The sequence below is a fragment of the Homo sapiens genome, chromosome 11 (assembly GCF_000001405.40).
Source record: "Homo sapiens chromosome 11, GRCh38.p14 Primary Assembly".
NCBI classification, from domain to species: domain Eukaryota; kingdom Metazoa; phylum Chordata; class Mammalia; order Primates; family Hominidae; genus Homo; species Homo sapiens.
In genome coordinates, this window is record NC_000011.10 from 71,787,514 (window position 1) to 71,813,949 (window position 26,436).

A 26,436-nucleotide genomic window follows, 5' to 3' on the forward strand; every position below is an offset into this window, starting at 1 on the left:
AAGGCTGAGGCCCCGCCCCCGTCATGGCGCCCGAGGAGAACGCGGGGAGCGAACTCTTGCTGCAGAGTTTCAAGCGCCGCTTCCTGGCAGCGCGCGCCCTGCGCTCCTTCCGCTGGCAGGTGGGCGGCGGGGCTAGCGGAGAGGTCCGCGGGGCTCGCGGGAGTCCAGGGGCAGACGGGATGGGTCTCCGTGCTGAAGCCCCCGGCGCTCCCGCCACGTGAGTGCCTGGGCTCTCGCCGGTCAGGTCCGCGCGACCCGGTCCCCGTCCCTGGGGCCTGGCCAGAGTCGCTCGCACCCTTCTTGCCCCGCGGGCTGGCGGCGTAAGCTGGGGGCCTCTCCACCGTCTTGGGAGGCACACGCGCACTCGTTGTGGGGTACAGTTCACGATCATTTTCACGACTTTTTAAAGACAGTAATCCTTCTGGTCACTGGGACACAGCTGCCCTCGCCCATTCTAAAAAGTCAGCGCCCTCAGGACCGCGGGTAACCACGTCCTACTGAGCGCGGTGACCAGGTCACAGGCTGTCCCTCGTGCCTCAGTGTTCTCATCTGTATGTCGAGCACTGCACAGAATTAGCTCATGCGCTGAGGCTTTCACACCTGTGATGGAAGAGACAGAGAAGGGGGTGGCCTCTCCTCTCCCTGGAGACCTGCCATTCTCAGCACAGGCCCATGGCAGGCAGCAGCCTCCCTTCTGCCAGTAGAGGGGCTTAATGCACCTGGCCCCATTTGTAATTCATGTGCGGTGAGCTCACTGGGATGAGTCAGTTTGGATATATATTCCTCCCTGGGTCTGCCCCATTTTATGGGTGTTGCTTAATCATTTGGGTTATTCCATTGACATAAAATATTTAGCACTCAGAGATCATTTCTGGTCAGGAGAAATTTGTGCATTTTTAACCCAAAATAGAAACCTTCATAAAAGCATCATAGGTCTCCATTCAATATTGACTATAATTGTTCACATGCCCGCGCTGCATGCTAACTTGGGCTCACCCTCAACACCCACGAGGTGGGTACTATTATTATCACTCACATTTAACCAGAGGGATTGTTTGATTAGGGTGCAGTAGTTGAGAGTTCACACCCAGGAGACAGCCTGCCTGCTTCGAATCCTGGCCCAAGCCCTGGCCCTGTGTGACCTTGGGCAAGTGACTGCATCTCTCTGTGCTGTTGTTTTCTTATTAATAAAATGAGGGATATAATGATACCTACCTCTTAGGGTTGTCGTCAGGGTTGAGTACAAAAGCCTGTGGATCAGTGCCTGGCTCATGATAAATGCATGTCGGTGTTAGCTAGTGTTTTTATTCAGTCTCAAAATGTTTAATAAATGCCTTCCGTGAGCCAGCCACCATGGATCAGCAGTACCCATGACAGATGAGGCTCTGCTTGCATGGGAGAGCCAGAGAATTAACAAATAAATGAATAAACAAGAAAAGACCAGATGAGAGTGGCTTTAAAGCCAATAAAACAGGGAAATGGTGAATGGAGCAACTGGGGAGAAGAGTCACCAAAGTCGGGGAATCAGGGAAGCCTTCCCCAAAGAGGTGGCATTTGAACTGGGGCCTGAGTGGTGAAGCAGCCAGCCATGGGAAGGGCTTGGGGAACAGGATATGCAAAGGCCTTGTGGTGGAAACAAGCCAGCTGTGGTTGAGGAACAACAGCAAGGCAGCCAGTGTGGCTGGAGTGGAGTGAGCAGGGTGGGCCAGAGGCGAGGGAGAACAGGCCAGAGAGAGGGATTAGGACCAGGTCTTGTAGGGTCTTTTATGGCATGGAAGGAGCTCTGAAGCAATGAAGTGCCTTGCCCTGTGTCACATATCAGCCGAGACAGTCTGGCTAACTCTGGAGCCAAAGTTCGCTGCTGGGCTTGAGGTCCCTGTAAGAGGACAATGTAACCCAGGCTGGTATGGGCACATTCTGCATTTCCACTTAAACTCAGATGGCAAGCCCATCAAACTTTGGTGCCATGGCTGCCCTGGTAATTCCTGGCTGACCAGTGCAACCAGGGAGCTGGCCCATGACGTGGGTGGCCGCTAAGTAGCCAGGACTAATGTGGCCAAGAGTCAGTCTTCTAACCTTCTTCCTGTGACTCATCCAGGTGCACCCTGCGACATCTGAAGGTCAGGCTTTCAGCTGCTGTGGCTTCCACTTCCAACTGGCTCCACATCCCCAGGGAGAGATCACACAGCCCTTTGCCAACTCATTCTATTGCGTGTTTAATGTTCCTGTGAATGCACCCTTGAGATTTCTCTCTCTCCTCTCCACACAGAGCTTAGAAGCAAAGTTAAGAGACTCATCAGATTCTGAGCTGCTGCGGGATATTTTGCAGAAGGTAAGAATTCCAGAGTCCCTGGGACTCATGACCCTGCCTCCTGAATCTCTCCGGAAGACCTGAGAGAAGAAGCACAGGTGTGCTTGTACCCTTTAAAAACACCCCTGTTCAAGGAACAAAACCATTGAGTCAGCACTGCAGGTGGGTGTCGGCACCTCCAACAGCTCCAGCTCTTTCATTTTCTATATAAGACTTAGACAAAGATATCAGAATATACAAAATTCTGCATGAGAGGGGGGAATCTAGGGAAAGTTTTTTAAACCCCCCACAGCAAAAACAGAGATGACAGGTGCAAAACAGCTTCTAACATTTGGTAGATGCTCAGAGACTTTCTTTTTTGCATTCGTGAGGCCTGTCCTGCCCACTCCTGTCTCTTCTAGACCTAAATGGGCCCTTACTTTGCCCAGGGTGGGGTTTGGACTCAAGAGCATCTGCATGTAGGTGAGAGGCAGGATCACCACCCGGCCCAGCCACAGCCTGACCTTGGCCTTGAGGGCCAAGTGCAGATCACCCTGCATCCTGGGTCTTCACCTTCGAAGAGCCATGAGCCCTTCTGAAAAGACAAAGCAATAGACTCCCTCCCAGAAAGAAGTGCACCAGAAGAATACATTTTCCATACAAACTCTGGAGGCAGACATTGTCCACCCCCACCCACCCAGCCCATCCTAGGAGCCCCAGTGAAGAATTCCTGTGCTAGAGGTGAACCAAGATTATCCATGTGGAAAAGATGCAGCCACAGCAGGGAAGACTTTTGGGGCAATACAGTAGGTCAGGGCTTCGAGCATGGAGATACCTGAAGTTGTCTTGCACCCTGCTCTGAGTTTCACCCTGAGCATCACTCTCGTAGGTGGTGAAGCATGAAATGTAGGAATAGCTGCTTTAAAACCCAGCACAAGGCTGGGTGCACTGGCTCACATCTGTAATCCCAGGACTTTGGGAAGCTGAGGTGGACAGATCACCTAAGGTCAGGAGTTCAAGACGGGCCTGGCCAACATGGCAAAAACACATCTCTACTAAAAAAACAAAAATTAGCTGGGCGTGGTGGTGCACGCCTATAGTCCCAGCTACTCGGGAGGCTGAGGCAGGAGAATCGCTTGAACCCAGGAGGCAGAGGCTGCGGTGAGCCAAGATTGGGCCACTGCACTCCAGCCTGGGCAACAGAGCGAGACTCTGTGTCAGAAAAAATGAAAAACCAGCACCAGCCTGAAGAGCCTGTGTATTGCGTGGGGTACTTTGCTGCCCTTGGGCAGAATCTGCATCCCTCCCAGCCAGCAGGCACTGCAGACTGTCTCCTCCCTCTCCCTCCAGGCTCCTGTTTTCCTACCATCCCCTGTCCTGCTGCACTAGTCCCTCTGCCCTCCTTTCCAAGTGCCAGGCTGTGGCCACCTCAGAGCTTGCACCAGCTGTTGCCACTGCCTGGAACTTGCTCGTCCTGCACTTGACTTCTCTTGGCTTTAGCTGGAGTGTCACCCTGAGCGTCCCCTCCCCTCCATCCTGTCCCCAGGGACACACGCTGAAAGAGAGCAGTTGCCGAGTGGGCCTTCCCTCCTCTTCCATAGAGCCAGACAGTTGGCGACTGTCTTTACTGCAAACGCTGGTTCACACTGGCTCCCCTGGGAGGGAGGTGGTTTGGGCCCACGTGCCCTGTGTTCCTGCTCAGAATGGGCATTAGAAATGCTGCCATAGCCTGTGCCACTGCAGTGGAAGCATTTTTAGGAAACGGCTTATAGCTTAAGACAAACTTCAGATGCATGGGGCCAGAACGCTGTGTCCATCTGCATCTTTGCTGAGGGATCCGGTAGCCTGGAGTTTGCCCTCTGCCATGTTGGCTTGAGGCTCATAGGCGACTTAAGACGGGCTCTCGAGCAACCAATGTTCTGTCCCTTGCAGTAGACTGTGAAGCATCCTGTGTGTGTGAAGCACCCGCCGTCAGTCAAGTATGCCCGGTGCTTTCTCTCAGAACTCATCAAAAAGGTCAGTTATGGGCAGTGTCCGCCCAGTAGCAGGACAGCATAGCCACCTGCGTGCTGCAGACCTCATCCTTCCCAGGCCCTGGGCCTGCTTTGCAAACCCCAGTATGGCAGGGGCCTCCCCAGGCAACTGGCTGCAGCCGCGTGTGACCCATGGGAGACAGTGCAGGGCGGGAAGAAGGGAAGGCCAGCGTCTCTCCCTCACTCTGCCTCCTGGGGTTTCCGCAGCAGCTGCTTCTCTGGGGCCCCAGCTCCTAGCATATGGATTCTCATTCCTACCAGGCTGGTCCAGCCCACAGCACTGGAACCCTCACTCACACCCTCTGTCCTGCCCGCCGAAGGGTTTGGAGTTTCCTGCTCTTGTCCATCTCTGGGTTGCCCCACGGGCCCCTGTTGGAAGGTTTAGCTCTTGCCATACCTTTGGAACTACTTCCGCTGGTGAATTCTCTGCATTGATCCTGCTGGAATGAGCTCTTTCCTGACTGATACAGGATGGATTTTATTTTTTACTTATTTATTTTTTTGAGACAGAGTCTCACTGTGTTGCCCAGGCTGGATTACCATGGCACAGTCTTGGCTCCCTGAAACCTCTGCCTCCTGGGTCCCAGCAAGTCTCGTGCCTAGCCTCCTAAGAAGCTGAAACTATAGGCACATGCCACCATGCCTGGCTAATTTTTTTATTTTTAGTAGAGACAGAGTTTCACCATGTTGGCCAGGCTGGTCTCAAACTCCTGACCTCAGGTGATCCGCCTGCCTCGGCCTCCCAATATGCTGGGATTACAGGCATGAGCCACCACACCTGGCCTAGGATGGATTTTAAAGATGAGCCCGAACATGCAGGGTTTGACATAAGGATGTCGAGAGGCCATTCCTCAGTAGGCAGTAGCAGATCTTCTGTGTGAAAGGGCCACACTTTTAGCAAATAAACAATCCCCTGCTTCTCCAATACCTTCTTTCTCCCTAGTCCTCCCCAAAAGGGTGCATCTGTGGTCACCAGTAGGTCTGCCCTGTGCCACCAGGAGAGGGCAGCAGTCACCCAGTGTACCCTGCTGCTGCCCTGTGAATCTTAGGATGGGGCCAGCCGTGGAGAAGCAGCCTGCTGACAGCCACAGCCTGCAGCATGGGCCGCCCTCACAGTTCTGCCTGGGCTCACTTAAAAGCACCTTTTGTTTTCCTCCTCTCTGTCATGGTCATGTGGCAGCTCTCACAGAATCCTTGTCTCCTGCCCTAGACTACACCCAACCCTACACTTTCAACACCTCTCTTTGAAGGCCCTCCCATCCAGGTTTCCCTACCAAGTGAATTTTTTTTTTAGAGACAAGGTCTCTTGCCCAGGCTGTCCTTGAACTCCTGGGCTCAAGCAGTCCTCCCATGTCAGCCTCTAGAGTAGCTGGGACTATTCGGCACACACCACCACGCCCAACGAAGTGAATATTTTATATGGCAGCTGGCCGGTATTACACCATTCTATCCCATATCTCCCCTCCAAACTTGGTGAAAATCATCTGGCCATTTTTACAGATTAGAACGAAAGCAAACAAGCTCTCACTCTGTCTGCCCCCAGCACGAGGCTGTCCACACAGAGCCTTTGGATGAGCTGTACGAGGTGCTGGTGGAGACCCTGATGGCCAAGGAGTCCACCCAGGGCCACCGGAGCTATTTGCTGGTATGAGAAGGACACCCTCCTCCCCCTCACAGCCCAGATACCCTTCCCGCACAGACAAAGTGAAAACGTGGGTGTGGGTTCAAATCCTGACTCACCCAGTCTGCAGTCTTAGACATGAGGTTCGTCAACCTTCTTTAGCCTCAGTTTCCCTGTCTGTAAATCAAGCACTTCAACAACAACAGCATGTCTTATAGGGTTGTGAGGCATTTGTCCAATAGGTGACACACTCTACCTGCTTCACAAGGACCTGGTGCCCAGTCCTCAAAGAATAGTTGACAGGTCCGGGTGTGGTGGCTCACACCTGTAATCCCAGCACTTTGGGAGGCTGAGGCGGGTGGATCCGAGGTCAGGAGTTCAAGACCAGCCTGGCCAATATGGTGAAACCCTGTCTCTACTAAAAATACAAAAATTAGGCCGGGCGTGGTGGCTCATGCCTGTAATCCCAGCACTTTGGGAGGCTGAGGCGGGTGGATCACCTGAGATCAGGAGTTTGAGACCAGCCTGGCCAACATGGTGAAACTCTGCCTTTACTAAAAATACAAAAATTAGCTTGGTGTGGTAGTGGGCGCCTGTAATCCCAGCTACTCAGGAGGATGAGGCAGGAGAATCTCTTGAACCCAGGAGGTGGAGGTTGTAGTGAGCCAAGATCGCGCTATTGCACTCCCACCTGGGCAACGAGAGTGAAACTGTCAAAAAGAAGTAGAAAAATTAGCCAGACATGGTGACACATGCCTGTAGTCGCACCTACTTGGGCAGCTGAGGCAGGAGAATTGCTTGAACCCAGGAGGCAGAGGTTGCAGTGAGCCAAGATTGTGCCACTGACTCCAGCCTGGGGAACAGAGCTCAAAAAAAATAAGATAAAACATAGATACAGAAAACCACAAAGGAAAAACATAGCATATTGAATCATCACAAGGCAGCCACCCCTTCATAGCCACACCCGGCCCCTGGCCACAACTGACCTGTGCTCCATCGCCAGAATTCCATTGTCTCAGGAATGTTCAATGAATGGAATCCTGTGTGGCCTGAGATGAGTGTCTTTCATGCCACGTGACACCCTTGAGGCCTGTGCAAGCTGTTGGCATGTCAACAGTTAGCTGCTTCTCATTGCTGAGTGGCGATTTGTCCTGTCATGGTTTATTCAGCCATGTGGTGGATGGCTGCTTGTCTTCTAAGCCACTTGCCTTCTGATCGCTGGACTGACTCTCTCGCCTTCTCTTGGTGCTGCCCTCGGGAGGCTCAGTCACACTCTCCAAGAGCACAGCCATCATCTCCCACGGCATCACAGTCCTGGTCACATGGGATGCCGCCCTCTACCTTGCAGAATGGGCCATCGAGAACCCAGCAGCCTTCACTGATAGGTGACCTCAGGGCACAGGGCAGGGCACCGAGGCAGGCTTACCCTGGTGCAGTCGCAGACATGACCCCCTTTCCTCCCACCAGGACTGTCCTAGAGCTTGGCAGTGGTGCTGGCCTCACAGGCCTGGCCATCTGCAAGATGTGCCACCCCCGGGCATACATCTTCAGGGACTGTCACAGCTGGGTCCTCTAGCAGCTCTGAGGGAATGTCCTTCTCAATGGCCTCTCATTAGGTGCAGATATCACTGCCAACTTAGACAGCCCCAGGGTGACAGTGGCCCAGCTGGACTGGGACGTCGCGACGGTCTGTCAGCTCTCTGCCATCCAGCCAGATGTTGTCATTGCAGCAGGTAATGCCCAGCCCCGGGCATCCTGTGCAGGCGGTGTCCTTGCAGCTCTAACCAGCTCTTGGCTCTGGGAAAAGGGAACAATGGATGCTGTTGGGCATGGACATGATGGGGCTTCCAGAAGAGTTACTCTGGGCCTCCAGGGTGACATCAAAGGACAGGGGTGCCTCTTAAGCTGACCTTCAAGCCACAGCCCTCTTGTTGGAGACAGGCATACTCCCGTTACAGTCGTCACCACATGGCTCTGTCCCAGAGCCATGCCTGTGTGTTTCAGAGACCACAGGAGGAAAACAACCACTTCTGGGATAAGGACAGGGCCCTTGAGAGAAGGTGGTGTTTGGCTGGGCCACGGAAAACCCCTCACCCCTGCCAGCACGCTCAGTCTCCTCTCTGGTCGAACAGAGCTCTGCCTGTGGTCCTGGGTCCCAGCCCTGAAAATCACAGGTCCAGCAGTGGCCAGGGACACAGGCCCACCCCTGCAAGCCAGCAGACAAATCCGCAGACACCTGAAACACGAAGTTCATCGCAGGGTCAGGCTTTGTGTCATTCACAGCCCTCTAGATAGGCCGAGAACCAGAGCACGTTTTTTAAGGAACACCAGTGAGTCTGGAGATTTTTTTCTTTTGCTTCAGTCTTTTGCAGCTTTCTCTATTAAGGGTTCTCCTTTTTCACCCAAGTAATTGCCTTTCCATCTAATGGCCCAAATGATCAAATGGCATCTACTAGTCTCATATGACCGCTGCCTCTCTGGCCTCGCCCTTCTGCTGAGGTCAGCATGACCTGGAACTGTCCGCTGGTCCCTTTCAGTAACCTGAAGCTTTCACCGTAGACGTGCTGTATTGCCCAGAAGCCATCGTGTCGCTGGTCGGGGTCCTGCGGAGGCTGGCTGCCTGCCGGGAGCACCAGCGGGCTCCTCAATTCTACATGGCCCTTACCGTCTGCAACCCAGAGATGTGCCAGCTGTTCACCACCGAGCTATGTGAGCCCCCACGCCCACCCGGGCCTGCATGGTCCCCAAGCTGTCCCTACAGGACTCCAGTGGAAGTGAAAGAACTGGGGGCCGGGGAAAAGCTAGGATGCCCCACACTCCCACACCATGCGGGGAACTAGGGCAGAGGCCGGTGAGAAGGGTGGGCTCGGGTCGTGGGGGGATTGTGGCAGGAGGAGGGCAGCTCAGCACAGGGAGGGAGGATCTGAGCCCAGCAGCCCTACTGTGTGCTTCAGAGCAGGGTTCCCTAAGCCCTTGGGCCTCGGTTTCCTCATCTATAAAATAGAGGTGGCAGGAGGGGCAGTCGGGGTCAGGTTTGGACACAGCTGTGGCCTGCAGGACGCTGGAGCACAGGCTGTACAGGCGGATCCACCACGCCACTGTCCTGAGCACCCAGTCAATGGAAGATGAGCAGGGTGACTATAGAGAAGGGGAACTGGCCCCGTAGTGGGCCAGCCACTGTCCTCAGACCTGACATTTGTCAGCCCCCGCACCTGTGAGAGTGTGATATCATTGTCCCATCTCACCGACAAAGACACTAGGACACACAGAGGACAAGCAACCCCCGAGCTCCCACAGACTGCTGCCCGGCCACCTGGCTCTTGTGCCTCCACTCTACACCCAAGCCCCCCATTGCCACCAGCCTTTGCCCCAGCTCCCCCTGAGCACAGCCCCTCCTGGCAGCCATGTGCACAGATGTACCCGCAGCAGCCTCTGCCTGCACACAGAGACACGGACAAGCCAGTGCCTGTCCACGTGGGGCAGCCCGTTAACTACAGAGCCAACAAACAAGCCAGGACACGAAGACATACTGGGTTCCACGACAGAGTCCTGCACAACCTCACACAGGAGGCTGGCCGGGCGCGGGGCTCAGGCCTGTCATCCCAGCACTTTAGGTGGCTAAGGTAGGAGGACTACTTGACCCCAGGTGTTCAAGACCAACCTGGGCCACATAGTGGGACCCCATCTTCACAAAACTTACAGAAACTAGCCAGATGTGGTTGCACACGCCCGTAGTCCCAGCTACTTGGGAAGCTGAGGTGGGAGGATGGCTTGAGCCCACGAGGTGGAGGCTGCAGTGAGCCCTGATCTCACCACTGCACTCCAGCGTGGGCAACAGAGCAAGACCCTGTCTCAAAAAAGCAAAAAAGCAAAAAAAAAAAAAAAAAAAAAAAAAAAGGAAGTCTTTCTTCAGATACTTACGTGAAAAAAAACCTGCCATATCTTTTAAGTGAAAAAAACAGTGCCAAGCAGCACACATAGTATAAGCCCCCACCAACCTTTTTTTTTTTTTTTGAGACAGAGTCTGGCCTTGTATTGCCCAGGCTGGAGTGCAGTGGTGCCATCTCGGCCCACTGCAACCTCCCACCTCCCAGGTTCAAGCTATCCTCTCATCTCAGCCTCCTGAGTAGCTGGGACTACAGGTGCGTGCTACCACGCCTGGCTAATTTTTGTATTGTTTCTAGAGTTGAGGTTTCGCCATGTTGGCCAGGCTGATCTTGAACTCCTGACCTCAAGTGATCTGCTGCCTCAGCATCCCAAAGTGTTAGGAATACGGGCGTGAGCTACTGCACCCAGCCCCATTTTTGTTTAAAAACTAATAATAATCACCCACACGTGGTTATGAGTACCTATATTCCAACTACTCAGGAGGCTGAGGTGGGAGGATGGCTTAAGCCCAGGAGTTTGTGGCCACCTTGAGCAACATAGCAAGACTTCATCTCAAAAAAAAATTATCACAATAATCATTTTCACATAAGTATACCTATAGGAGAAAACCTAGAACATATATATAGCAGGCTTGTCCAACCTGTGGCCCTACACAAATCTGTAAACTTTCTTAAAACAATATGAGATTTTTTTGTGATTTTTTTCTTTTAGCTCATCAGCTATTGCTAGCATTAGTGTATTTTATGTGTGGCCCAAGGCGATTCTTCTTCTTCCAATGTGGCGCATGTAGGCCAAAAGATTGGACATCGTTGATATACACGTTAACAGGTGCCATCCTTGGATGGCAGGATTATAGAGATTGCTACATGTTCATGTCTATACTACTTCATTTTTATAAATACGCATTTTCCACTCGTAACAAAAAACCGTGATTGAAAATCATCCCGGGTCACAGTGTCTCATGCCTGTAATCCCAACACTGTAAGAGGCTGAGGCTTTGGGAAGCTGAGGTGAGCAGATCACCTGAGGTCAAGAGTTCAAGACCAGCCTGGCCAACACGGTGAAACCCCATCTCTACTAAACACCCAAAAATTAGCCAGGCGTGGTGGTGCACGCCTATAATCCCAGCTACTCAGGAGGCTGAGGCAGGAGAATCACTTGAACCTGGGAGGCGTTGCAGTGAGCTGAGATTGCGCCACTGCACTCCAGCTGGGGAACAGAGTAAAACTCCATCTAAAAAATAATAATAAAAGAGGCTAAGGCAGGAGCATCACTTGAGGCCATGCGTTCAGGACCCCATCTCTACAAAATAAAAAAATTACTGGCATGGTGGCATGCACCTGTCATCCCAGCTACTCAGGAAGTGGGAGGATTGCTAGAGCCCAGGAGTCGAGGCTGTGGTGAGCAATGACTGTGCCACTGCACTCCAGCCTGGGTGAAAGAACAAGATCGTAGCTCAAAAAAAAAAAAAAAAGAATCATTCTGGATAATGGCTCTTCAGACATCTGTGCTTATAAGAACACCAGCCCCTTCTAAGCTCTGTGTGTGTGTGTGTGTGTGTGTGTGTGTGTGTGTGTGTGTGTGTGTGTGTGTTTTGAGATAGAGTCTCACTCTGTCACTCAGGCTGGAGTGCAGTGGCACAATCTCGGCTCACTGCAACCTCCGCCTCCTGGGTTCAAGCAATTCTCCTGCCTCAGCCTCCCAAGTAGCTGGGATTACAGGCACCCGCCATCGTGCCTGGCTAATTTTTGTATTTTTGTAGAGATGGAGTTCCACCACGTTGGCCAGGCTGGTCTCGAACACCTGACCTCAAGTGATCCGCCGGCGTTGGCCTCCCAAAGTGTTGGGATTACAGGCATGAGCCACTGTGCCCGGCCACTTTCTAAGCTTTGTGAAGAGTGGACTGACTAAGCAGCCAGGTAGATGTGGGTTCAGATCTCTGCTTCTGTCCTGCTGTGCCAAGTGCTGGGGCAGACACAGGCAGAGAGTGGACAGCAGCATGGTGCCTGCTGCTAGCCATTTCTATGCAAAACCAGATTTCTGGTCCCATCCTGGAGGCCAATTCTAGGTACCTGGGTGGGCCTGGGAACCTGTGAACAAAGTATACTGACTTAGACACCCCCCACCCCGCCAGGCCTGTCCTAGCAGCCCCACACAATACGCTCATGTCCTGTCCCCAAACACCGCCATCCTCAAACACGTGCTCTGTTTCCAGGCTGGACTGGGATCAGATGGGAAGCGGAAGCTCATCATGACCAGAAACTGTTTCCCTACAGAGAGCACTTGGAGATGGCAAAGCTGAACCTCACACTGTAGGACTCACACATGACTCCAACGGGATTGTGAGAATTAAGTCACTCTCGTGGGAAGAATTTTTATATGGGAAAGCGGATAAAACTTTCATTGGACTGGAATGTTTGGAGAATGTTAAATTCCAAATCAGGAACCACAAACTGCGCTCTAATAAGACATCGGCTATCTAAGCATGTGGGTTCCCCCTTTCTGCCAGCAGTTCTGGTTCTTAAGAAAATCACCATAAATCAGACATGAAAATTCTGGCTCCAAAAATAGCATTTTCATTGTGCAAATAAAAACGTGTGTATCAAGTATGACATTCCCCCAACGTGGACACACTTGGTTCCTCACAAAGCCAAGCCCGCTGCAGCTGCCACATCCCTGGACACACTCGTTTCCTCACAAAGCCAAGCCCGCTGCAGCTGCCACATCCCTGGACACACTCGGTTCCTCACAAAGCCAAGCCCGCTGCAGCTGCCACATCCCTGGACACACTCGTTTCCTCACAAAGCCAAGCCCGCTGCAGCTGCCACATCCCTGGACACACTCGTTTCCTCACAAAGCCAAGCCCGCTGCAGCTGCCACATCCCTGGACACACTCGGTTCCTCAAAAAGCCAAGCCGGCTGCAGCTGCCACATCCCTGGGTTTATGATGCAGCAGGTGCTTTTTTCAAGACAGGAATCAAAGTGTTAGGAACATGGCAGAAAGGTGACACCTGGAGACCAAATGCAGGGTAAGGAGTACTGCAGAGGTCACAGGGAAGTCACAGAACAGTAATACGCTAGCAGGGGCATGGGGCGTGAAGAACAGAAGACAGGAAGCGTTTCAGAGACTCCAAAGAAGAAATCAGGGCCAACCACAGCTTCCCGAGTCATTCACCAGGTGGCACCACTGCCTTCATTTCAGCTTCCGGCCACTGGGAGGCGCTGCTCGAAAGGGTTTGCCCTGAGACACCAAGAAGAAGCTGCGGGAAGGACAGCAGGGGCCCTGGGGTTTTAGCCTCTGGCCCAGGAGTTATGTGTCCATAACCAAAGGGAGCACAGTCTGCACCCAGCTCTCATCCCATCAGAGCTGCTGCGACTCCCGCAGGTTCTTCCAGAACTGGTTTAGCTTGCCTGCAGGATCAGGAAAGTTTGAGAAAAGCATCTGCAAAATACTAAAGAGCAGAGCTTACTTCATTGCCTGTCCCCACCCCATCCCAGGTCACCACCTGGCTGAACCCAGGTCCCCGACCCAACAACAACCCCTCCCAAGTCCCTAACTCCCTCACTTGGACTTGAGACCCTTCACAACCCAGCAGCGCTCCGCCTCCAACTTGACATCATGCTTTCTGGAAACTTCCCCGTGTGTCCCACTTTCCCACACTTGGTGCGCTGGAGCACCTTCCGGCCTCTACATGCTGTACGTTCCCCTGTGAGCACCCTCCTCTCAGCCTCTGGCCAACACAGTCCCACCCATCTGTGGGTAACAAGGGGGTGTGGGTGTTCTTTTCAGCCTTGCTAAACTGTCTGAATCAAGGATCACAAACTACAGCCTGCAGGCCAAATCCAGCCCACAGCCTGTGTTTGTAAATAAAGCTTTATTGGAACAAAGCCACACCCCTTAATCTACAGATGATCTGTGGCTACTCTCACACCACAACAGAGTACCATGGTTCTGACAGAGACTGGGGAACCCAGTCTAAATGACTTCTGACCTGGACCTTTACTGAAAATCCTCCCAATCATTCTGTTGACAAGAATGATGTATTACTTTTTGCAATAAGAAACAAGTAACCTTTGCAGAATTCCACCCATCTTTCAAGGCTGGTCCCAGAAGTTCCCTTTGCCCACGCACCTACCTGATCCTGATCACTTCCTAAACTGCAGCCTGGCCCACCCGGCTCCAGCATCATTTGTGGAGTGTCAGCTCCATAAATCCAGAGGGCAGGTGGGGTTGTGTCCTAACTTTCCCGAGCCTACTGTACTGAAATGGGACAGCAGAGTAGGCCAGCCTCTGTGACTTCTGCTCCCTCACTAGCTTTTCCACCAGACCCCCCATGGTACAACCCTGGCTGTGGGAAGCAGGGATCAGGGATTGTGGCTCGGTGCCAGTCTCCAGAACCCTGCCCACCCTGGCGTGGTGGCAGACATGGCTACCTGCAGCTGAGCTGCCAGTTCCTCTGAGTCCTCAAAGACCAGGCCATTTTCTTCATGTTTCACCAGCTCATGTAAGCTGCAGAGAGAACCAAGGGAGCCTGAGAGCTGCCTGGAGAAGACACCAGACCCCTGGGGTGTCCAGCTTGTCTCCCACCCACCCACGCTCAAGCCAGGCTGGGGGTTGGAACAGGATGTGTGGTTTCTGGGAGCTGGTTCTTAGATTTGGCATCTGAAGGGTATAAAGGCCTGGGGGTGCACATCAAAATGGCCAAACCGATTTGAGGAGGGAGCCTTAAGGAAGGTTTGTACCTTCTGTGCTGGATGCTCTTCAAGTACTGAAGAATTATTTTTGCATGTTTTTCTTAATTCCATGGCCATGGAACAAGTAAACGCAACCCCCTGGGGACTGGTTCAGCACATAAAAGATGACTTTTCTAGGACACCAGATTTGATCCCGACATTCCCTGAGCTCAGCTCACACGAGGGGCTCGCACCCCTGAATCCCATCCAGGAGCCGGCTCCTGAGCAGGGGCCAAGGGCTCAACTTGTGCTGGGGCTACTGCTTCTAGAATCTCCTCTAACGCCACCCTTCCAAACACCCGTCTATGCTGGGTGGAGTGAGGCCACAGCATGACATTCATTTAACTGATTCAAACCCACCATGTGAGCTTGGCCAAAAAGGACATGGTGGGAGAGAAAAACAAAGAAAACCATGTAAGCCTGCAGGCAATTCCCTCCAATTCTACTCTAGGAGCAAAAGCCCTGAGTGGAGTTCTAGTATTTAAGGTGCTTTCTTTTTTCACATTAGGCTGGTGCAAAAGTTATTGCATTTTTAATGGCAAAAACCGTGATTACTTTTGTACCAACCTAAATATAACATGAGCTCTAAATGGAAGCGACTACTTCAGTGAGTCTCAGCCCAGCCACAGTAACCGCAGGGCTCCTCCTCATGGCCTCCAGTGTGTGCTGGACTGACCGAGGGGCAGGGCCTCACTGTGGGCAGCTCACTCTACACTGCTTCCCCCTCAGCGGTGGATCTGTGAAGCTATCCCCAGAAAGATTCGGGTTCTGCTCCTACCACTTGAAGTTCACAGCACACGCAGGCAAACAGCTCCTGAACATGTCCACCACCTTCATGGGCAGGTCCAGGCCACTGGAGGATGTGTCCAGACAGACACCCAGGTCCACCGACCCTGCTAGGCAAGAGGGGTGGGTTAGAGCGCTGGTCTCTGCCCTGGGAACAAAAATCCTCCCAGCAGAGTGAGACAACATCCCCCAAGGGGAGTGAAAATTGGATAAGGCCCCCGACATCCCCAAGCACAAGTGGCTTAAGCTGGCCACGCAGCCACACGGCCTGGCTGGGACATCTGAAAATGTAAGTTGACACATTTTCTACATAACCACAATTTGTTTTTTGTTGTCGTTGTTTTGTTTTGTTTTGTTTTGTTTTGTTTTGTTTTGTTTTGAGACAGAGTCTCACTCTGTCACCCAGGCTGGAGTGCAGTGGCACAATCTCAGCTCCCTGCAACCTCCACCTCCCAGGTTTACCTCCTGTCTGTAATCCCAGCATTTTGGGAGGCCAAGGCGGGTGGATCACCTGAGGTCAGGAGTTCAAGACCAGCCTGGCCAACATGGTGAAACCGCATCTCTACTAAAAAAAAATACAAAATTAGCGAAGCGTCATGGCAGGTGCCTGTAATCCCAGCTACTCAAGAGGCTGAGGCAGGAAAATCGCTTGAACCTGGGAAGGCAGAGGATGCAGTGAGCCAAGATCGCGCCATTGCACTCCAGCCTGGGCTACAAGAGCGAAACTCCGTCTCAAAATAATAATAATAATAATAATAAACCACATCACACCCACCACAAACCAGCTGTCAGTGTGAAAATAAAGCCAAATAGCTTAACATTTCTAAAGACTAGCTGGGGCCAGGCATGATGGGTCAGGCCTGGAATCCCAGCACTTAGGGAGGCCAAGGCGAGAGGATCACTTGAGGTCAGGAGTTCAAGACCAGCCTGGCCAACATGGTGAAACCCTGTCTCTACTAAAAATACAAAAATAAGCCAGGTGTTGTGGCGGGCTCCCATAATCCTGTAATCTACTTGGGAGGCTGAGGTGGGAGAATCGCTTGAACCCAGGAGGCGGAGGTTGCATGAACTGAGATCGTGCACTCCAGCCTAGGCAACGGAGCAAGACTGTCTAAAAGACAGTCTTGTCTTTTAGCTGGAGAATCCTGCCAGGAAAAGACCCTCAGCCGCCAAGTGCTCTGCTCACTCGAAGCTGGAAGATGCGGCTCTAGAGACGCATCAGGACCAAGCCACGACTCCCAACTTGGAGAAATCAACGGGGAAAGAGACGGAGACAAAGAAGAACCATCTCACTGGGAGAGGCGATGCTGTTTGACACATCGTCCCTGTACCTCCCAAAGCCACTGTCCTCCCACACCTGGGCAACAGTGGCCTCAACCCCAGGCCCAGCCCTCCTGCAGGAAGGAAGAGGACTGAATGGAGGGCGTGGCAGGATGAAAGGACGTGGCCTCCTCAAACCCATTGGTAAAGGGCCTCTGGGGCCACCTGGCTAAGAGGGGCTGGCAGACCAGGAAGTGGCCTCCTCCCGGGAGTTGAGCCAGAGCCCAGGTCCTGTCCCCAAGTGGCCTCCAGAGCCACCTTTTCAGAAAAAGTACATCCTGCCCACCCCTGCTCCCCCTGCTTAAGGCCCCACCTCCTCCCTGAGCCTCCTGCTGGCCTCTCACCTAGAAGCGGGGGTAGTCCTCGGCCCTCCAGCCAAGGGGTGCAGACCTGGATGTGCTGGAAATGCTTCTGGTGGATGAGGCGACTGTAATACTCCCTCAGAGGCCCTTTGCCTTCACAGAGAAGAGCACACACTGCCATGGACCCGTCTCTGTCCCTGCCACATGACCCCAGGCTCAAGACACTCCCCCCTAGGAGGGATCCTTTTCCCAGAAGCTCCACCCCTTGGCAGCTCCAGTCAGGCCCCATCTGACTGGGAGGGGAACAACACACACTGGAGCCTGTCTGGGGGTGAGTGGGGAGGGAGTGCATCAGGATAAATAGCTAATGCATGTGGGCTGAATACCTAGGTGATGGGTTGATAGGTACAGCAAACCACCATGGCACACATTTACCTATGTAACAAACCTGCACATCCTGCACATGTATCCCAGAACTTAAAATGAAATAAAATAAAATTTTAAAAAACTTTATTTTGTCTAAAATTCCAAAATGCAGGGATTACAGGCGTAAGCCACCGTGCCTGGCCCTGTTTTAACATATCTGAACAAGATTTAAGACATCAGTTTGAAAAGAGCCCCTCTATGGCAGCAACATGAATTCTGTCAAACCTGAAGCAAGAACAAACATCAAATTTACGGTGAAGCTGGGGTACAAAAAATGGTGAAATAAATTATTCTTTATGAAAAGTGTACGGGAAAAATAACCTGAAGAATCAGTCATTTACAAATGGATACCTTATTCTAAGAAGAGATAATACAATGTTGAAGATGAAGTCAACAGAGGAGGGACATCCATACCAATTTTTGAGAAAAAAAATCGTTTCTATGCCCTAATTGAGGAGGATTGACAATTAGCAAGAGATACTATAGCCAACACCACAGGCATCTCAATTGGTTCAGCTTACACAATACTGACTATAACGTGAAAGTTGAGAAATTTTACATTTGATGAGTCCCAAATACCCTTGTGCCTAGATCAGCAGTGGACAAAAGCAGAGCTATTAGTAACTATTTTGAGCAAGCGGAATCAGATCCTGAAGCATTATTTTGAAGAATTATAACAGGGAGTGAAACTGGCTTTATCAATAAGATCCTGAAGACAAAGCACAATTCAAGCAATGGCTACCAAGAGGTAGAAGTGGTCCAGTCAAAGCAAAAGCAAACTTCTCAAAAGCAAAAGCCATGGAGGTTTTGGGGATGCTCAAGGCATTTTGCTGGTTGACTTTCTGTAAGATCAAAGCACCATAACATCTGCTTACTAGGAGAGTTCTTAGAGAAAATTAGCAAATACTTTTGCAGAAAAGCGCCCTGTAAAGCTTCACTAGAGAGTCCCTCTGCACCACAACAACACTTCTGTTCCTTCCTCTCATCAAACATGGGTAATTTTGCAAGAGTTTTCATGGGAAATTATTAGGCATCAACATTACAGTCCTGATTTGGTTTCTTCTGACATTTTTTCCCTAATCTTAAAATAACTGTAAAGGGCACCCATTTTTCTTTAGTTAATAATAGAAGACTGCATTGACACGGTTAAATTCCCATTACCCTCAGTTCTTTAGCAATGGAATGAATGGCTGGGATCATCGCTTAATGGAGTGTCTGGACCTCAGTAGAGCTTAAATTGAGAAATAAAGTTTATATTTATATTTTTATTGTTAATTCCATTTTTCACTGACATTTTTAAATCCCATCACAATTCACGTTTGTCTCAAAGGTATTTAAATTTAGAAATCATATCAAGTGTGAAATAAAGAAAATTGTATATAGAGAGAGAGAACAGAATCTATAAATATGCATGTTTGTGTACATACATCCATATACATACATATGTGTGTGCATGCAGTAATTTTATTCTCCTAAAGCAATGCCTCTGCCTTCCACCCTCACTGCACATGTCCTAGTCCTGTGATGTCCCTGGAACTGAGCACCTGATTTCCTTCTCTGCCTCCCACATGAACAGGGAATAGAAATGGAAACCACGCTCTGTGGTTGCTGTTGTGAAAATCCATGTTCCCCACAGGCTGAGTTTGGCATCTTACATTCTAGTTCCCATTGTAAAAAAGCAAGCAACAAACAAAAACTACAAAAGAAAAAATGAAATAGTTGAAAGTCTAGAGCCACAGAGGTTCCAGATCCACCCACCGCCAACGGTGACCTCCACAGCCCTCCAGGCCTGAGGGCAGTTATGCCTGAACAGCCTGCCTCTTCACCATCCACGCAGGAAAGTGACTTTAAACTTCAATAGCTATTACTCTGTTCCACAAGGAACCAGGTCAACATTCAAAGTCGGTGGTCTGACAACTCTAAGCTTTGGCCGGAAAGTGTTGGAAACATTTAACGTGCAGTGGATGAAGCAGCCCGGCCCCACTGCACACAACACACTCACAGGGACTCAAAGGAAGAGACTCAGGATCCGCTGGGTGGAAGTGAGGACAGACCCAGAAACACAGGGGGTGGGAGGGGGTCAAACCAGGAAGGCTCAGGACCTGACCTCCTCCTAGGCCCTGCCCCTCTAGAACTCACAGTTTTTTCTGACCCAGAAGTGGATTTCACTGATGGAAAAGAAGTTCAGTATTTCTGGTCCAGCCCAGTAAGCTGCTCCCATTGCCCAGCCTTCCACACCCCTGCAGACGTCACAATCCCTGAACCCACTAACCTGACAAGGGAGCTATGCATCACCTGGAGACAGTCCTAGGCCTGCACTCCTGTGATGGGGTCCAGGGTCTGTGTCCATTTCTGGTTAAAATTGCTGTAAGGCTGGTGGCTGTCTTGGCCTTCCCTGCTTCCTTTCTGTTCTCTTCTCCCCTCCTCACCCCATGTGAAGTTTTTACTCAGGAGATGGATTCTCACCCCTCTTGGAACATCAAGGATAGTGCCAGAACACTGCACCATCCCCTTGACCCTGGGATTCTGTAGACCTCAGTCTTCTCCTGAGGTCCCCTCCCTCCCTACCTCATTTTTTTCCATACTTCTGGGGCCTGGGCCTGCTACACCTCAGGCTTCCTCTTCACAGTAACAGAGTGAGGGAGCCCCCTTCATCCTTGGGCTCTGGCCACAGCTCACCTGCTGCAGGACACTCAGCAGCTTTCAGTAGTTCATCCAGACATCCAGTTGGAAGTGGGATTTCCTGGAAGGAAAGCAGGAACCCAGAATTACACTGAATTCTAACACCAGGGCCCAGATTCCCCTTCTGCATGGGACACTAAGCTGCAAACACTACATAGGCACTTAATGCTCAGCTGTCCTTCTAACATCTGGTCCAGTTGTGTCCCTCCTCCTTGGAATATCTCAGAAAATGTATCTCCACCTACAGTTGTTTGAAAGCATCATCCTATGTGATTCCAGACCATCAGGGGGTGCAATGGGTCCTCACCAGTATTTCCACTCTGCTTGGAAGACTTAGAAAATCCTGAGGCTGCTCAGAGGGTCAGATTCCCATCTCTGTGTTTCTGTAAAACTTCAGTCTTCCCCAGACAAGTGAGGAGACAGAAAATGTCTAGTCTCTGGCACATCTTTTGCAAGCAATGGCGGCTCCCAGGAATCAAAACTATCAACGAATATATTTTTGAGATTCTGGTCAAAAGAAGTCATCCTGCAATTTCAGGTAGGATGAAGTGGTTCTGTGGCTCCTGAGGTGATTTTGAAAAGATCTTGACTCTCAGAAGGACCAAGGAGGACATTTCTGGCATTTCCAGACCAGGAAGAGTGACTGATGGACCTCCAGTGTTACTTGGAAAACTTTTTGTCGGACAGCTTTGTAATAAGAGGATCTTGCTTTGGCTTTCAGGCCTTCACATAGGTTGTTTAGATCATGGAAGTGTTTCTGCATTTCTGCATAGGCTCAGGATGCCTTCTCAAGTCGTCCCTGCAATTATGAGACAGTTGCTTTCTCCAGAGGTCACTTAGAATAATACAAGAGGCTTCACTCTCAAAGGGACACCAGACAATATAGCCACAGTCCAGCCACGATTATCTGTATTTACATACCTGTAAAGTAACACTCCTAGTTATCTCCATTAACTTGGACATCTTTCATGAATAGGGAAACTCTAGTGATTGTTATATAACAGCTGCCACAAAAATTAATCAATAAAAAGAAATGATAAATGAAAAATAATTAATAATCATGATAATGAATTCAATGACCTAAATAGTATGAATTTTAATACTGGTGACAATATAAACATAAGGATACAAAAATTAATGTGGAGCTTCCCCTAAATATATGAAAACTTCACAAATTGTGTCCTCCTTGTGTAATTTGGAGTCAGAGTCAAAGAATTTCTCTATGAAATGTGTTCCATGATGGCAAACATCAAAAACAGCAGGTGAAAGAAAAGCAAGCCGCAGGAGACCATGGGCTAATATGAACATTTGTGTGCAAACCTCTCTCATCAAGAACTACCAGCCAGAGGTGAAGGGACTGTGATTTGTGTCCTGCCCACCACTGGGCACACAAAAGCTTTCAGTAGTGCAACCAGATGGCTGGTTTGGCCTGGCTCCCTGCAAGGAAGACACGTCTCTGATCCCCACCAGCCCATCAGTCCTGGAACTCAGAATCCTACATGCAGTAAACATGAAGCTCCAACTCCATAGCTGACTTTACCTCCTTACTGTCCTTCTGCCATCTGGTGTTGCAGGTGCTCTCCAGATCTGGACTTCTTGGCTCCCTTACCTTTACCAAGTGAATTCAGGATGTATCATTCTCAGTCTTCTCCTGCCAGTCCAAAGTGAAACTCACCAATACAGGCATACCCTGGATGGGCTTCCTTGGAATATTTAGAAAACAATGAGCTTGCTCGGGGGTGGTGTGAGTTCTAGGAGTAGAGTTACAGCCTCCCATGGAAACCTGAGAGGACTTAGAATATTCCCAAAGGCCTAAGCAGTCCAATCTGTCCTGGAAACATCAGGAATGATATACTGGGTCTTCCTGAGGCTCCAAAATTTTTCTAAATAAACTCAGAGGTTACAGAACCATTTTTCTCTTGGGAACTGAAGTGGAGTTATTTGCCTTCTGCCAGCATCTCACTTTTTTTTTCTCTAAGTTAGCTTTTGAGCCCAGAAGTAGATATTCCTTGTATTTGATTTACACAGGGAGCTTCCTAGAATGCCCGTGCCTCTGGATATTTTCTGCATTCACTCAGGTATCGACAAAATGCTGCAGTTCTACTGAAAATCTCTGAGATGACCATTTGATCACCTGAGTAACTTTAGAATGTGTCTTCTATGGAAGCCCTGGAGCCTCCCTTCTGGTATTTCATACATTGCTGGTACCAAGTACCCAGGGTAATACCCTCCGTCAGACATTGTTGGCAATTCCAGTATGGAGATGACACTAACGTGATGGGGCTCAAGAATCAGATGGTAGAAGACCAGCTGGGAGGTGAAGTCTCAGTAGGCTAGGGGCTTAATGTTCGATGCACACCAGACTTCTGAGACTCAGGAGGCGGGTGTGGATCTGTCTGCCCAGTGCCTCTCATTTACAGCCTGGACACGCTATTTCTTGAGGTGAACTACTGAAGGCTTTTGTACGACGTGTGTCAGGCAAGACTCTGGCCAGACCCTTTGCCATAGTCCATTTGTAATGTATTTCCACATGGCACAGGTATCTCCACTTTTGCCTATGCTCTCATGTGGCTCAGAATTATTCTCCCTACTGCCACTCTTCTTTGCCAACACAGAAGATATTTCAAGATGTAGCCCTAAGCTTCTCCATCTAATCAATAACATGAGGGCTCATATGGGAACATTGTCACAGGCTTACAGGAATATGTTCTTAAATATCTGCATTTTTATTACTCTCTTCATTAAATTGACATTTATATCATCACCATTATGATTGTTATTAATGTTATTATTATATTGGTACAGTTCTTTATCATGGATACATTTTTGGTCGTTTTTATGCAATGTTGAATAATTTTTTTATGTTCCTGAAGACTGTTGAATTTGCTGAAGATGATTAAAAGACAACCTTAAAACATAAATACCACAGCAACCCCAGGACTCCTACTGTACTGCCTGGTGTCCTGTAGAAGAATGGGCTTCCTGAATTATTCTTTTATTTTTCAGGCAAGTACCTATTCATACCAGCATAGGAGACTGATGAAGTGCACCCTCATCTTGTCATGGGCTCAGAAAGAATTCGTACATATGCTTTATGTGATAGCAACTCTATGTGTAGGCCTGTGAGCCCTAGAATGCACTTTCTTTCAGCAACTAGTCCACCTAACAGTTTTCTAAGTCAAATCCCCTCTCCATGCTTGGATAGGTCATGAATAGCTTTCTGTTACCCACCTAAGATGAAGGGATATTGCTAAATCAGGTTTGTGGCCAAGAAACTTTTACCTGGAGTGGCAGGAGAGGGCCTACCTGTTCACCAGTGTCTGCAACACTTTCTTTTGTCTTCCTTTTTATTTATTTATTTATTTATTTATTTATTTTATTTTTATTTTTATTTTATTTTTGAGATAGAGTCTCGCTCCGTCGCTCAGGCTGGAGTCCAGTGTCACGATCTTGGCTCACTGCAACCTCTGACTCCCAGGTTCAAGCGATTCTCCTGCCTCAGCCTCCTGAGTAGCTGGGATTACAGGTGTGTGTCACCACGCCCGGCTAATTTTTGTATTTTTAGTAGAGAGGGGGTTTCACCATGTTAGTCAGACTGGTCTCAAACTCCTAACCTCATGATCCGCCTGCCTTGGCCTCCCAAAGTGCTGGGATTACAGGCATAAGCCACCGCACCTGGCCTCTGCAACATTTTCTAAGTCAGTATAGAAGCTCTTTGAACCACCTTTTCAGTCAAAGAACTCATGAAAAAGTCTCCAAGAACTTGTGACCTTCTGGAAATTGTCAAAATCTCTACAGGTGTCCAGAGTCATCTAGATCCGTATTGCAAGCCACTGACTGGGTTCCACCATTATTAAAGCAAATGCAAAATATGCCATGCCCACCAAAAAAAATCCAGAAGCCATGGTATTTAGCTGTTTCCATCTTTCTTGCCTCCTGCAGGTGTGAGAGTACTGAGTATCATGCCCTCCTACAGCCTCTGGAGGACATGCCAGTGCCTAGAGGTACCAGGAGAGAGGGGTCATGAAAGAGCAGATGACAGCCAGGTGGCTGGGAATGACATTGTCCTGGGGCTTATTGCTTGTCATGAACTCTGCCACTGGGCAACATGTGCAGGTGTGGACCCGTGCCTTCTCTGGATCCCTGCCCCATCAGCCAGCTGTCTTATCTCCTGAAAGCTGGTAGGTGTTGGTCAGCATGGTGTTCCAGGACCAGGGTTATATTAACATTCTCTCTTAGGCTGAAACACCAGAAGTTAACACAGGAGTCCCCAGGTGTGCACATACTAACCTCCAGATTGTTTTTCTTCTCGTTCTAGATGTTCATCCTTGCTTTTTGGGACTTGAAATAACCCTACACAGACAAATATTTATGCCTATTATCCACTTATGGAAAACCTATATGTCCCAAGCCCATAGGGTTAGTATTATTATCAGTATTAAAACCATTAGTACTAGTATCATGATGATCATTATTCCTGTTAATATCCATCAATATTTGTATTACTGCCATTGTTAATATGGATTTTTCATTATTGTACAGCAATGAATATAGTTTATCCATTCACAAATGGTGTTCAGTTACCAAAGATGACTAAAAGGCATGTTCTACAGACATATACACACACAGCTGTCCTGGAGACACAGCTTTGCCACCAATTGCTCTTTCGTAAGATAGGATCCCCCAATACCCACTAGTTTTTCAGGACTCGACCTGAGCTAGCTCAACTAGACCTGGAAAAGTTTCCTATGCTCAAATGTACTTGGAAAAATTTAAAAGTCTCTTCAGAGGCCCAGTAATAGCTTTTGGCAGCTTCTAAGACCAGGGAGGGTTTCTTGGCCATTCAGAGCCATTCAAATATGCTAAGTAAACTCAAGGATCCAGAAACCCCACCTGCAGTCATGAAATACCAGTGAATGGCCTCTTTGAGTCTCTTCAAGGTTTTCAAAGATGACTGCCTGGGAAGGCTGACCAGGAAGTCACCCAAGCCCAACCTTCTGCAGGATGTTCTATGTCAGCCAGGGACCCAGTGAATTGCCATTGAACAGAAGGGAGGAACAGAAACAGCATGCCTGAGCTTCTGGAAACATTCTAAATGTCCTTGTTGGCCCAGCAAAGACTGGTACTACCATATGAGGCACAGACTTGGCAACCTACCTACTCCAGAAACCACAGAAGCTTTAAAGGTTCCCAGGAAGTCCCAGGAAGGGCAGCCACGGCCCTTTAGAGCCATCAGATTTTATTCTAAGTCTACGTGGGAGACAGTGCGCTTAGCTTCATAAAAACACCAGTGGAGGTGCTAACACTTGCCCCAGTATCCAGTCTTTTCTACCTCATCTCAGAGCCAGGCAGCCACTATTTCCCAAAGCTGCTGTGCAATGAAAGGGGAATATTCTAAGTGCTCTCCTGTGCCCACGAAATTCTGTGGCTGCGCTGAAAGGTAGGAGTTGTCCTCCGGAATGCTCTTCAGAAATCTGACACTGGTCAAGATTAAAGAAGCTCAATTCAACGTCATACAAAACCAATCCCCCCCCCAAAAAAAAATGCATAGTAAGACAAAATGAACACACCTGCTAATAATCATAAATGACAATAATAACAACAATGATGATCTTAGTGATAATGCCACCAACACTGTTAATGGCAATAACAATAAACCTGAGGTAATGAGTGTTAGGGTCCCGATTCACCGATGTGAAGGATGGCGACAATTTCTGGCCTCACAGAAATAAAGGAAAAGTAAACACCTGGAGGAGGAGGAGGTGAACCTGGAGCTCCCGCCGGCCTCTGGGCGCTCCTTGGTGGAAGGAGAGGGACTTGGTCCTGAGCCTGCCCCGGATCTACCTACACCAGAACCCCGGAGTCCCCCCGAATGGGCTCAGTCCCACCCAGGCCAGACGCCCCAGAGCCCCGTAGCCCGGGTCCTCCAGCCCTCGCTGCCGCTGCTTCTCGCGGAGCCGGGCCCGCCCCCCGCGCCACCTCAGCCTCTGCGGGGCTCTGGGAGGGCAGCGCCGAGGATGCTCCGGGCCCATCGACGGCATCCGGGCCCAGCTGGGGTATCCGGCCTCAGGCGGATACTGACGCCCTGAGGGCGCGGAATAGGGCGGCCTGCGCAGGGCCCGCCGTCTCGGGCCTTGCAAAAAGAGCGGCCTCTCCAACGCCCCTACCGGAACCTCCCCGGAGGCCCCAGCCCCAAAGCCAGGGCGATTGCGCCTCCCTAACTATGGGTGAAGAAAAATCAGGTCCTCCCTGGAGACCCGGCCCGCCGAGGGAGGCAGACTGCTCATGCGCCCTGCATGGCCGGAAAGATGGGTTTCATTGCCCTCTGCCGGCCATGAGGTGGCAGCACAGGAC

General features: G+C 50.2%; 1 long non-coding RNA gene and 2 pseudogenes across 7 annotated transcripts in view, besides 1 other annotated feature; 1 reads left to right on the top strand and 2 right to left on the bottom strand.

The window, feature by feature from the left end:
* Nucleotides 1-12,148, top strand: FAM86C1P (family with sequence similarity 86 member C1, pseudogene; annotated as a pseudogene). Its single transcript, XR_004643250.2, has 8 exons — nucleotides 1-119; nucleotides 2,270-2,332; nucleotides 4,226-4,306; nucleotides 5,867-5,963; nucleotides 7,191-7,329; nucleotides 7,412-7,677; nucleotides 8,504-8,653; nucleotides 12,048-12,148. The product of XR_004643250.2 is annotated as a family with sequence similarity 86 member C1, pseudogene (transcript).
* On the bottom strand, nucleotides 6,850-26,346 carry ALG1L9P (ALG1 like 9, pseudogene; annotated as a pseudogene). 3 transcript variants are annotated; one of them, NR_073386.1, is made up of 4 exons: nucleotides 25,830-26,346; nucleotides 20,080-20,143; nucleotides 15,345-15,459; nucleotides 6,850-7,741 (listed from the first exon to the last, which is right to left on the bottom strand). The product of NR_073386.1 is annotated as an ALG1 like 9, pseudogene, transcript variant 3 (transcript). The 3 variants fall into 3 exon arrangements; NR_073388.1 differs by lacking the exon at nucleotides 6,850-7,741 and adding an exon at nucleotides 8,302-8,612; NR_073387.1 differs by lacking the exons at nucleotides 6,850-7,741; nucleotides 15,345-15,459; nucleotides 20,080-20,143 and adding an exon at nucleotides 22,465-24,435.
* Nucleotides 17,468-26,436, bottom strand: part of XNDC1N-ZNF705EP-ALG1L9P (XNDC1N-ZNF705EP-ALG1L9P readthrough) — a 123,614-nt gene continuing 114,645 nt past the window's right edge. For all 3 annotated transcript variants that reach the window (NR_172893.1, NR_172894.1, NR_172895.1), the window contains one exon: nucleotides 17,468-20,143. This is a non-coding gene — a long non-coding RNA (XNDC1N-ZNF705EP-ALG1L9P readthrough). The remainder of the gene's footprint in view (nucleotides 20,144-26,436) is intronic.
* Nucleotides 25,996-26,095: a silencer, noted in NCBI's record as "silent region_3712". NCBI's record gives its function as "represses an Ori minimal core promoter by ATAC-STARR-seq in GM12878 lymphoblastoid cells {active_cell/tissue: GM12878}" and the evidence as "EXISTENCE:reporter gene assay evidence [ECO:0000049][PMID:35858748]".